This window comes from Homo sapiens, chromosome 4 (assembly GCF_000001405.40).
Source record: "Homo sapiens chromosome 4, GRCh38.p14 Primary Assembly".
Lineage (NCBI taxonomy): Eukaryota > Metazoa > Chordata > Mammalia > Primates > Hominidae > Homo > Homo sapiens.
In genome coordinates this window covers 184,002,771-184,015,565 of record NC_000004.12, presented here as the reverse complement: position 1 = coordinate 184,015,565, position 12,795 = coordinate 184,002,771, and the positions used below count along the sequence as shown (strand labels likewise).

The 12,795-nt window shown below is 42.1% G+C and overlaps 1 protein-coding gene across 8 annotated transcripts in view; it reads right to left on the bottom strand.

Moving 5' to 3' along the window:
- STOX2 (storkhead box 2) overlaps positions 1 to 12,795 on the bottom strand; it is a 225,509-nt gene that overhangs the window by 7,965 nt on the left and 204,749 nt on the right. For 6 of the 8 annotated variants that reach the window (NM_020225.3, XM_047415989.1, XM_011532131.2 and 3 more), the window contains one exon: positions 4,143 to 6,408. The exons of 1 other annotated variant lie outside the window; for it this stretch is intronic. In NM_020225.3, the coding sequence (NP_064610.1) occupies positions 4,143 to 6,408 (2,266 nt within the window). Of the gene's footprint in view, positions 1 to 4,138; positions 6,409 to 12,795 lie in introns of those variants that run through there. One more of the 8 variants, XM_017008466.2, reaches the window with a different exon arrangement.

The window sequence follows — 12,795 nt, the reverse complement described above, 5'->3', positions numbered from 1 at the left end:
AGTTAATTGTTTAAAAGGCAGTTTGTTCACTGACAACCAAAAAAACAAACAAACAAACAAACAAACCCTCGGACTTTCTTGAATGTCGAGGGTACCTCCAGAAAGGTAATCCATTTATAGGGAGAAGTCAAGTTTTTCATTATGCTTATGGTAAATCTGAGCATACCTAAAAGACACTCCAAAATGTCATCACTAAAAGGGAAAGTGTGAGACTTGCCTACATGACGTCTCCCCCAGGAAAACTCACCAGTGGCTTTGCCAGAGCTACCACTGAGGCATGGAGCAGGTGGAGGAAGAGGAGGGTCAGGAAAGATGCAAAACCCCAAAGATTTCAAGACACATTCCTTTGGTTTTGTTCTTAATCACTAAAGTAACTTTTTACAGTATCTGACTTCCTCATCTCTAAAATATAGAGAGTTATGATGGGATGTACCTACTCCTAGGGTGACTGTGAAGAAGAAGTAAGCATCAAGGAAGAATCTGTACACTAATAAGGTAGAAAATGTGGATTATTTCATTGTATACCTAGCATATAATGAAATAAATAGTGACTGTGGGTTCGCTTCAGAATCCATGTATTACGAATGACGTATTTTCTATGGGAAAATACATTTTAAGGTCCAAAGGATTCACTCTTAAACCAGCTTTCAAGGGGTGGGCTCAACATTTATTATGTGCCTGCTGTATACCAGGCACCGTAAACACATATTGCAATACATGATCTGAGCTGGGGTCTGTCTCTACTGTAAGATCCCTTCGCCCACCTTCAATCACAGCCAACATATTAATAGTGGTAAATATGTAATATATGTAATAGTGGTAAATTGTGGTAAAGAATGTATTTCATTATTGTTGCAATAATGATTACAGTCTGTGACATTCAAGCTGCGGGCTCCGGATGTGCTGATGAAAAAGTTAAAGGAGATAGAATGTTAGCAGTAAAAATATTCCTCAAATTTAAAAGTTGGTTTTTTGTTTTTTGTTTTTTTTTTTTAAAGAGAGCTAATGGAGTACAACCTGAAAAACAGGATTTCAGGATTTTATAGGCAGGAGAAATGGACCAAGCGGTTCTGTTGTTCATCCTTCTGTACACATGTCTTCCCCTGGCCCCAGGCGTCTACAGCACACGTTCTTGCAATACATTAAGCAGATATACCCCTGGCAGCCTTTGGTCTCTGATTTTCATATTGTGTTTATCAACCAGCTTTAGGCCTCATATTTGAAATCACAGGCTTCTCACGTCAAGACTTTTCATTTTCAATATTAGATCTCATAGCATAGTTCAAGTTTCTACCCTTTTTCCTTCTACATACCCTTTAATTCCCAACAAAAGGGACTGAAGAATTTTGGAAATGTGGCTGAACATGACTTCTAAGCCAGCACTGAAACCCTGGAGTGTGGAGAAAAGTCACTTTTTGGGGTCTTTTTCTGTTTTTTTTTTTTTTTTTTTTTTTTGGTTGGGGCTTAGCTGCTCGGTGAATTATTTACTGAAAGATTTTAATAAATGGCCTGCTTAAGATTTTCATGTCAGGGCTGGGCATGGTGGCTCATGCCTATAAGTCTAGCACTTTGGGAGGCCAAGGCAGAAGGATCTACAAAAATTTTTTTAAAAATTACCAGGTGTGGTTTCACACACCTGTAGTCCCAGCTACTCAGAAGGCTGAAGTGGGAGGATTGCTTGAGCCCAGGAGTTCCAGGCGGCAGTGAGCTACAATCACCACTGCACTCCAGCCTGGGCAACAGAGTGAGACTCTATCTCTAAAAAAAATTTAAAACGATTCCCATGTCTCGCAGCAATGGTAATGTAGGCGCATGATAATGCTATCTGGCTAAAATACTCCCCAGACTGCAGAGCAAAGTTTCTAGTAGTCAAATACTTTCCTTTGCAGAACATTACTCCTGGATCAGCGAGACAACTCAGTGACTTTATTAAGGTGTGTAGAAAATAGTTTGTCACCTAGCTTCTAATCGAAGGGTAGTAAATATGAAAGGGGTAAAATTAGCAATTGTTCTGTAGATTCTCTAACTGTATAACATGTATAGGTGATACACGTTTTCATGTAGAGAAAATTCTACTTAATATTAGTGGGGAGACATGCGGCTATTGTGTGAAGGTTGTCTCTTTAGAACAGTCTTTACCTTCTGCCATGACAAAACACTTAACTTTAAGCACATAATGAAACAACTGAAAATCAACTTACTTCAAGAAATAATCCCAGTCATAAATTCTATATTCTGCACCCCAAGTTTAGAGATAGTAAAATATATTCTGTAGAGATACTGGTTCAACCATTTCATGAATATCTCTGTTTACCTTCAAACAAACAAAAAACTTTCAATATTATGCAGTGGAAGGTTTTCTAGTTAGAACTCATTAAACTACTCCCAATGTCTCCTTAGCAACTATCTCTTTAGTACGGCAGCTTCCTGTCTGTGGAAGCCCAGGGGCCCAGAGGGAAAGGAGAAAGGTTTAAAACGAGCATGTGAAAAGCAGGTAGGAGGCAGAGGCTACATAATGAGAAACAGTAGAACAGAAAGACACAGGCAAATACACCACACCTACCACCAAAAATTGTTCTCAACTTCTACCACGGATTACAGACCTTCTGTTTTGCTAATCTGGTATCCACTACCGGGAACTCAAGAGGAAAAAAGAGTAGAACAGGAAAATGAAGAAAAAAAAGGATAGTTAAAATAAATCAGAAAATAATATCTGATTTGAGATAAAAAATTATTTAGCAAAAATGATTTCTTAGAAAAGCCACTTAGTAGACTAGTGGTTTTCAGGCTGAGGCCCATGGCTCCCTGAGGTGTCAGAGGCTCCTCGAGGGATGGGGAGAGGGACTGGGGCCCATAGTCTCCACTGTCACCACGGCCATCTCTCAGCTCTGTGCAGACATTTAGACTTCCACACACGTGTTAACTTGGAAGAAAGGCTCCAAGACCAAAATAATAATGATGATAATAATAATAATAATGAACCAGCCCTTTAATAAATCACAAAGGCCTAATATGGGACAAAGCAATTAATGATTCCCAGTTCCAGCTGTGTGATGCTCACTTCCAAAATTATCCAGGGATATAGTGAAAAGATCACAACGGAATTAATTTTAATTCTTAATAATTAAATATATGAAGTACATAATCCTATCTGAATCCATGTTAAAATTATAAGTATTATAAAATCTTGGGAATCATAGCTGATGAGAAATGTCAATCTCTCAGTAGTATTTCTGCATCTCAGAGTCACCAATCTGGAGTAGAAGTTAGAAAGAGAATTAGGTCCCATGTTGCTCTTTGAGGAGAAGAAAGAGTTAAGAAGAAAAAAGGAAGTTGCACAGACTCTTGTTTGCTTTCTGAATCCCTGAATAACTCTAGAGCTTTGGCCATGACCACTGGGCACCACTAACTCTTGACTGTCAACCCTTTGCTGAACTAACACCTATTAACAAGAAGGAACTACAATTAGACTGCCCAAATGGGCTCCGTCATTTCTGCAGGAGGAGAAATAAACATGGCACATGCTTTGATCTAACAGAGCACAGGCCCCTGCCCTCGCTGTGAGGGAAGAAATATTCCATTTCTTGGCAGTGAAAGGAAGGTGTGTGAGCCAGAGGGACAGGCTGCACAGAATAGTGGGATCCAAATGGCAACAAGCTTCTAGATCCATTGGAGAGGTTTTGAGATCTGCTATTATATTTTCACTACAGGGACCCCTATCTTAGCATCAATCAGTTTACTCCCAACCCCTATCTTCCTCCCCCGCCCCCAGACTATTTATTCTACTCAAAAAGTTACTATTTTTGAAGGACTTAAAAAACATCCTTCTCTTAGCATGGGTGGCAATATGAACGTAGCAGAAAAAATACTGGAAATATTGGTTTTAGTTAGATCAGACTGATGCAAGTTTGAGGGGAGGAGCCAACCCACCAGTCCAGATTGGTGATCTCTACAGGTGCAGAAACATTTTTTTCAATTCCTGAAAAAGAAGTCAGAAACAGATTGTTAACAATACAACTCATACAACTCTTAACCCTCATCCATAGAACTGAGACTACGAAATCAGAAACTTGTCAAGTTACGTGCATAAAGCCCCAGGCCCCGCTAGGCGCATGTGTGTGCACAGAGACACCTCTCCCTACCGTGGGGAGTTGAATCCACTGTCCACTGTGATGCTGCTGCTGTCCATGCTGTCGAGCCGGGCTGAATGGGTGGCTCTCTGGTTGCTGCTGCTGTCGGTTTCTTTTGGAGCAAGAAGGGTGAGGTTCTTTTCAAATTTCCTCTGCAAGTCTCTTTCCTTCTCCCGCTCGAGGAGCCACTGCATGGTGCCTACGTCCTCTCTATTTTTCTCCTCCTCTGTGTTCTTGTTTGCCCCTTCCTCAGAGTCGTCATCATCAGAGACGTTGTAATAGTCAAAAGAGGCTTCCTGGTTCCCTCCTGACTCCTGCTGACGCTGGGAAGCAGGCATGGCTTGTGCCGCCGAGGTCCCCAGGGACGGTTCCAGTTTCTCACATCGGCCTGGCAATGTGTCAGCAGGTGTCTTCGGGTGAGATTTGAGGAGGGACAGGCTCGACTTGTGATAGCTGTTTACAGACAAGGTGCTGTGAAGAGGTTTGAACAGTGTGTCTTTGCTAAATATCTCTTTCCTCTTGTCCAAGCTGCTGGGCTCGGCACCATGGTGCTGGACGAGGCGTCCGTTGGCGATCCCTTCAGCCACTCCTCCCGAAGCAGCGGGGCCCCCACCCGGCCCTTTTGGTGACTCCTCCTTGTGCCCCACAGGCTCCCTGGAGGAGTGGGGGACCTGCCTATCAGAAGGGGAGAGCTTTTTCACCCCTTCTGCCAAAGTCAGAGTGTCATGGTCCTCCTTATTCTTTCCCAGAGGTGATGGTGCCGTGAGCACCGTCTCACTAGAGGTGTTGCACTGGAAATAGTCATCTGTGGCTGTTTTTGTTGGACAAGAGTTGAGTTCGCCATAGGATGGCAAACTCTCGGGTGGTTTTCCTGGCTCCAAAAGGCTGCAAGCGCTGGACGGTTCCTTGCTGCCACTGACTATCTCTGGAATACACACCTCTTTATAGCTTGTGGACGAAATGTGAGCCCTTTGGAGACTAACGGTCTGTGCAGGCCTTAAAGTACTGTCGTCAATGTAGGATTGGCTGGGGGTCTGGTCGTCTTGGCTGCAGCCTTCAGCAAGGTCTTCCGGCGTCCCTAGAGAAGAAGCACCCAGAGGGCCTTTGGAGTTATCCATCGACCTGGATCTCTCCTTGGCTTTGTTGGATCTCTCATTCCTGGACCTCCGGTCCTGTGTATGGCTGTGGCTTCGGTGCACTTTTGAGTGGGAGCTTCCCCTAGAAGGTTCAGGAAAAGGCATCTCAGTTCTCCTTTTAGCCAATTCACCAGACACATCCCATTCTGGTGTCATGGGGAAGTGGGACTCGAGCACGTTTGTGTTGCTGTGCATGATGAAGTTATCTCCTTTGTGTTCAATGATGAAGCAGCCCTCCCTGGGCACCCTGGTAAGAGGATCACAAAAGTCATACTCTCTTTCAGCTGGGATATCCAGATGTGAACCGTCGGAAGGGTCTCCTTTAGACACCCGTGTCTTGCTGTGAGACCGAGACTTTCCATGGGACTTCCGATGAGTCCTACTCTTTTTACTCCTTCCGCTGTGATGGGCAGAGGACCCGGCTTTACTCCTCTGGGCCTTTTCTTCTTCCAGTTTCTTCATGAGCGCGGTGTGCCGCATGACATTTTCCACGGTCAGGTCTGGGTTAATGCGCCTAATGATTTCCATCTCTACTTCCCGAGGGATCGTAGCTGGCGTGTCCTCGTCTCGCAGGGGCCACTCTTCAGGAGGAAACTGGGCAGAAAAATTGGCCAGCTGTTTGGTCTTGTCTTTTTTAAAACTTAACCGGAATAACTTTAGCCCGAATTTTTTTGACTGCTTTTCACTATCTTTAGGTTTTGAGAGAGTTTCTGTCTTATAGGAAAAATTTACAGTACTTTTGCTCTTTTCAGTGGGTGGCACCTGGCACAGAGAAGGGGGACAGTAAGGGTCTTTGCAGTCCTTGGCAGACTTCCTTTGCAGGGTGGGTGCATGCGTGCTGTGCACGTCTTCTCTGCAGCAGTGGCAAGAGTCGCAGTGGTTTCGGGGCAATGTCCTTTCCCTGACACAGCCTGAGGCAGAGGGCGTGATGGTCCCGGGTTGCGGAGAGGTGCACTGAGACCGGTCAGGTATCCTCTCGTCCAAATGGTACCATTTACTGTTAGTTCTTATGAGGGAAGGAGTTATGAAATAAGTCTGTGGGGTCACGATGAAGTAGCCATCTGGAGTTGGGTAGATCTTCCTCTCCCGTACCAGCGTGTTCAGCGTGTGCCGCAGAATTTCTTGGCTTGGCGTTGGAACACCTGAAAAAAAAAAAAAAAAAACCACTTGTGAGAATGAAGACAGAACATGTGGATTCCTGATTTCCAGGATCCTATTCATTCGCCAAGATGCGAAGTACCATCACAGAGCTAGGATGCACAATTCAGACAAAGGTGTTCATTAAGTTCAGTGCAAATCCTCGCCTTCTTGGGTAACTCCTACATTACTACCCACAGAATGAGCAGATATAAAAGCTGGGAAGACAGAGATGGAAGTTAGGTGGAGTCAGGTTGCTACTGTTGTTACCTGTTGTTTCCTGTTTCCTGAACGAAACAGGAAAGACAGAATATTTTTAAATGAGAGAAAAATGAAAAATGTTTCCCATGATATGATATGAAAGTATAGAAAAGGCTTTTTCAATAAAAGCAACTAGAGAAGCAGAGTGAAAATATCTACCTTGATATTAAAAAACATATCTAACATATATGGAGGCTACCACAGAAGAGTTACTGTGTGTGCTCATTGTTAAAGATTTTACTTAATAAACTTAATTTTGTGAATGATATAAAAGGGCAACTAGACTTGACTACTGTTTATGATGTATCCTCTAATTTTGGAGTCATTGCCTTCCATTTGGAAACTGACTGCAGCCCGGGTAAAATTCATGTAAGAATGTTCTCCTTTTTGGCGTCAGTCAGTAAGAAGAAGGTGGTTTTTCTAATTTCTAACCAAAGAGCCCTAATAAATACATGAGTGAAGGCTTTGACACTCTGTGTCTTTTTGTCCAAAATTCCCATATTGGCTAGAATAGACACACCAGATGAAAATGATGAAAGCTTCTTTGTATGATTGATAATTGTTTTCAAAGGGTTTTTGTGCATGTTTATGCCTCGTCTACCTTAAGAGACAGAATTAAGAGCATAAATTCTTAAGAGAGTTTAAGTTCCCCAGGCTCCAGCCCATTTACTTCATTTCTTGGGTATTCTCCATTTCTCAATGCCAGGCACATAAAGGGTGGTAATACTTAGAAGACTGACCTGAAATCGGTCAGCTTGAGTCATGTGAAACTGCCCATATTTAACCATCTGACTCACAAAAATGGCAGTTGCATGTGGTTCAACCAAACACGAATAAGGCAGTGTAAGGTGGAGACTAAAAGGCTGGGGCCGGGCTGCTGGATTGAAACCCTGCCCTGTCATTGTTAGCTGGTGTCACTGGTTGAATTATGCACTCCCCACCCCAATTTATATCCTGAAATCCTAACTCCTAATACTCTTTTAAATATGACTCTATTTGGAGAAAGGGTCTTAAAGTCAGGTCAAAATGAGGTCGTTAGAGCGGTCTCTAATCGAATACGACTGATGTCCTTCTGAAAAGGGGAAAGCTGGAGACAGAAAGGCACAGAGGGAAGACAGTGTGAGGAGACACACAGAAGGTGGCCATCCGTAAGCCGAGGACAGGGCCCTCACAGCTCTCAGAAGGACAACCAATCCTGCTGAGATTGTGATTCTGGACTTCTGGCCTCCAGAACTGTAGGACAATACATGTTGGTTGGTTGAGCCATCTGCACTTTGTTACAGCAGTCCTAGCAAATGAAGACAGCTGGTACCACCTTAGGCAGCTCAGCCTCTCTGAGCCTCCATTCACTGTCATCAAAAGGTAGATAACAATAGTACCTGTAGCCACAGGGCTGAGGTGAAAGGAGTTTCGTGTGTGGAGCAGTGCCTGGCACACAGAGAGTGCTCAATAAACATTAGCTGGGAGTTAGTCTCCACTTTGGGTCGGGACCCACGGAAAACCAGATTGCCTTCAAACAACAATGTGCACCAACCTAGAACACCTGGGTCAGCTGAGATGCTTCAACTCCCCAAGTCCTTCCAAAGTAGGAAATAAAGGTATTAGAAATGGCCTGGGATTCTCAAGGGGAGAAAATCCGTGAATGCGCGGTAACATACACACCCATTTGTGTTACCATCTTCAGAAGGTATCTTTAGTGACCAAGGCGGAAAAGGTAGCATTGTTCATAGATAATGTATCAATATAATTATTTAATTTTTGAGTCGCATGGTTTCCTTTTAGTCTAATACTTTACTTCTGGCAAGTGAGCATTAGTTTTTATACAAATGATTTTAAGACCAATAATAACAAAATTTTTTTTTTGTTTTGTTTTTTTTTTTTTTTTTGAGACAGAGTCTCGCTCTGTCGCCCAGGCTGGAGTGCAGTGGCGGGATCTCGGCTCACTGCAAGCTCCGCCTCCTGGGTTCACGCCATTCTCCTGCCTCAGCCTCCCAAGTAGCTGGGACTACAGGCGCCCGCCACTACGCCCAGCTAATTTTTTGTATTTTTAGTAGAGACGGGGTTTCACCGTTTTAGCCGGGATGGTTTCGATCTGCTGACCTCGTGATCCGCCCGCCTCGGCCTCCCAAAGTGCTGGTGTTTTTTAATTTTATAATACTTTCTGTACAAAATAGAAATGAATTTTTTTCTTTTTTCCTTTTTTTTTTTTTTTTTTTGAGACAGGGTCTCACCCTTGCGCAGGCTGGAGTGCAGTGACAAGATCTCAGCTCACTGCAGCCTCAACTTCCCCAGGCTCAGGTGATCCTCCCACCTCAGTTTTTCGAGTAGCTGGGACTAATTTTTATATTTTTTGTAGAGATGGGGTTTCTCCATGTTGCCCCCCAGGTTGGTCTCGAACTCCTGGGCTCAAGTGATCTTCCCGCCCCTGCTTCCCAAAGTGCCTTCCACTGAATAACTTCAGGGGACACCACTGACACGGAATATACCTTCTGAGATGAGGGCACACCTCTGCACCGCAGTCTCAGGAATGATGCCCACTGTCATTGTTTGGCACAGCAATCAAGATAACAAGCCCATGTTTAAAGCCGACCACATCTTAAATGGTAGCATACTTTTAGTCAACAATGTGACAAACTTTTTCAAACACTCGTAAGGTTCATTTATAAGTATTCATGATTGACCAGTTTACCATGGCTCCTAATAAGGGAAAGCTGATGTATACGTCATAAAAATAGCTATTACTATAAAGCAAAAGTTTAATTTTATTATAGAATTTGCTGACTGTAGGCCTTCCAAATGATGATCTTAGGAAACTCATAAAGCTATTAATGTATAGAATTATGACTACAATGCAAACATCTTTACTTACCATTAAAAACAAGTTCTCTAGTAGTTCTCAAATGAAGGAATAAAAAGAAAAATAGAGAAAAATTTTTCTATTTCCATAGAGTATTTGTGCTTAAATTTTTTTATGTCTTGGGTTTCCAGGTATATCCATCAAATAATGTTTAATTTGATAATGCAAACTAGAAACATTCTTTGCCCCCTGTCCAAGCCATTTTCCATGCTGTGACCTGAGAGTTTTCAGACTTAACTGAAAGTTGCTTATGTTTATGATTATCATTGTATTATGAAGCCCTAATATACTGACTGATTGTGAAATTCAGGGTTCTGCCAGAAATCTGTAGGGTTGACCTGAGAAAGTGATGGTTGTGATGGATGTTTAACGTTTGCATATTCCACTACTTCCAAATTCGACTCCGAAAGTTCATCATGAGTTCAGATTGTGAGGGCTTAAAGAACAAAAATAAACTTTACATCCTAACAGGCCTGAACCTGATCTCTTCCACACCTTTACATTTTTCAAAGCAAAAATAACTATTTTAAAACACTGCATGACACTGTGGTCTACTTATACCTATGAATTTTTTTTTTTTTTTTTTTGAGATATCGTCTCACTCTGTCACCCAAGCTGGAGTGCAGTGGCACAATCTTGGCTCACTGAAACCTCCACCTCCGGGTTCAAGTGATTATTGTACCTCAGCCACCGAGTAGCTGGGATTACAGGTGCGTGCCACACGCCCAGCTAATTTTTGTATTTTTTAGTAGAGACAAGGTTTCGTCATGTTGGCCACATTGGTCTCAAACTCCTGGCCTCAAGTGATCCGCCCACCTCGGCCTCCCAAATTGCTGGGATTATAGGTGTGAGCCACCACAATCAGCCTCTATGTATTGCTTTAGTCCTGCAAATCTGACAAACTGTCAGAACAGTGAGCACATGGACCTGTTCTGTATGTTAAGCACTTTCAAGTGAAACGCTTTAATGAGCATCTTTAGATTATTCTTGTTTGTGAAGAACGCTGGCTGAAGAAGAATTCAGTAAGAGCCAACATAAGGAGACGAATGGGAGACAGAACACAGTGTATCTATTAACATTCTCCAGGAATCTCTAAAGTCAAGTTCAGCTCCATACCTGGACTTATAGGGTCTAGCTCTATGTCCCTGAAGACCAGTCTTCCTCCCAGAAAGATTCAGTTGTAACAGCTTAACAGGTACCAGACCACCAATTTAAATGATCATTCTGGATGAATGGATGCATAGTTATTTAGAAATACAAGAAGCAAGTATTATTCTTTATAAACCTTTTAAAAATATTCTTGATTCTGTAATGGAAATTGATAGATAAAAGTTGTTGAGTTGGTTTTCAAAAATTCAGCCAACTTGTTTTTCTCACTTTTATAGAAAAGTGATAAAAAGGTTTAAGTTTTGATGTATCGGAATTTTTTTTTTGTTTTTGTTTTTGAAACGGAGTCTCGCTCTGTCGCCCAGGCTGGAGTGCAGTGGCGTGATCTCAGCTCACTGCAAGCTCGGCCTCCCGGGTTCACGCCATTCTCCTGCCTCAGCCTCCCGAGTAGCTGGGACTACAGGCGCCCGCCACCAAGCCCGGCTAATTTTTTTGTATTTTTAGTAGAGACGGGGTTTCACCGTGTTAACCAGGATGGTCTCGATCTCTTGACGTCGTGATCCGCCCGCCTCGGCCTCCCAAAGTGCTGGGATTACAGGCATGAGCCACTGCGCCTGACCCAGAAATTTTTGCTGGAAGACTATTCACTAAAAACTTTCTTTAGAATATGGATGCCCAAAACAAGAAAAGAAGCCAAATTCTAGACTACACTTTTGATTTATAAAATATACATTAAATATGAGATCCAAATATTTTAATAATACTTAGGCTCAAAAACTTTATTTTTGAATAGTAAGATATAAAAGAACTAAATACTTTATTCTTACCTTTAAAAACAAAAAATATAAATATGATCTTTAAATCCCTTCAGAGTTTTAGCATTGTCATTAAAAATACAATTTTCAAGTAGAATTTAAAGGGTTAGATTTTCTAAAATATTTTCTTCTGCTGTAGCTTAACTGATAGTAAAAGACAGACAAAAAAAAAAATCAAAGGAAGGAAGGGAAGGAAAGGAGAAAGGTAGCTAAGAAGAAAGGAAAGAAGGCAGGCAGGCAGGAAACAAACTTTCATTTTTTATGAAATACCAGTTTAAAATCTGGAGCTATTGCTGAACATAACTTTAAATAGTTACCACCATATCCTAGCCCAGGGGTCAGCAGACTTTCTCTGTAAAGAACCACATAGTAAATATTTTAGGCTTTTAGCCATATGACCTCCATTGCTACTACTCAACTCTGCCACTATCGCATAAGGAGCCAAAGACCATCCATGAGCAAATGGGCACGGCTGTGTTCCAATAAAACTTTATTTACAAAAACAGGTGGTGGGCCGCACTAGGCCTGCAGGTTAGCAAACTCCTGCGCTAGACCTGGGTTTGTATGGTGTCCTTGCAAACTTCTGAGGCTGACCAATGAGTCATCAGTGTCACACAGAAGAAAAAGCTCCTCAGTCTGTCTGAAAACCAGGGCCTTGGGATTTAAGTTCTCTTCCCATAAAAGCTAGCAAAACAGTTATTCTTTTAAGTACAAATGACCTATGGATTAATCCACAAAGCATTCCAAGTTAGTGATATTGTTATCAGCTGCTTGGCAGTGAGGAGCATTTTACTATTACACACTGGCTGTATGTTCTTTCCATTATTTATTTTAGAGCCCAAAAATGGGTGGTACGTAACCAATTTCAGAAAAGCCGTGTGATTTCTCATGAAGCTATATAAAAATAAAAGGATTTAAAAAGCTGCTGGGTTGTTCAATGTCAGAAGTGGCTACGCACTCATAGGACAGAAAGCAGGTCCTTCCTCCAAGACCACTGTGTTTGGCAACACTATCTGTCCCCACTTAGGTGGCTCTCACCTGGGATTCTGTTTCTCTCACTACTAAAAGGAAAGGCGTTTGCCTAGGACTTAACAAAAAGAGACAGGCAATCAGACAGTGAAGAATATTCAGAGATAATAAAATGCTAGAAATCTTAAAATAATTTGTATGTTGCAAGGGTGGGTTCATGTTAGAGATTTTGAACCATATACATATTATCAAAACACATTAATTAGAATATTGAAAAAGGAAGAAATATCACAAGGAGAAGGAGAAAACGTTCCTCGGGGACAAAAGGAGAAGCAGGGAGACCAATACAGTAGATAAGATCTCTCCTTAGCTTAGAATTCGTC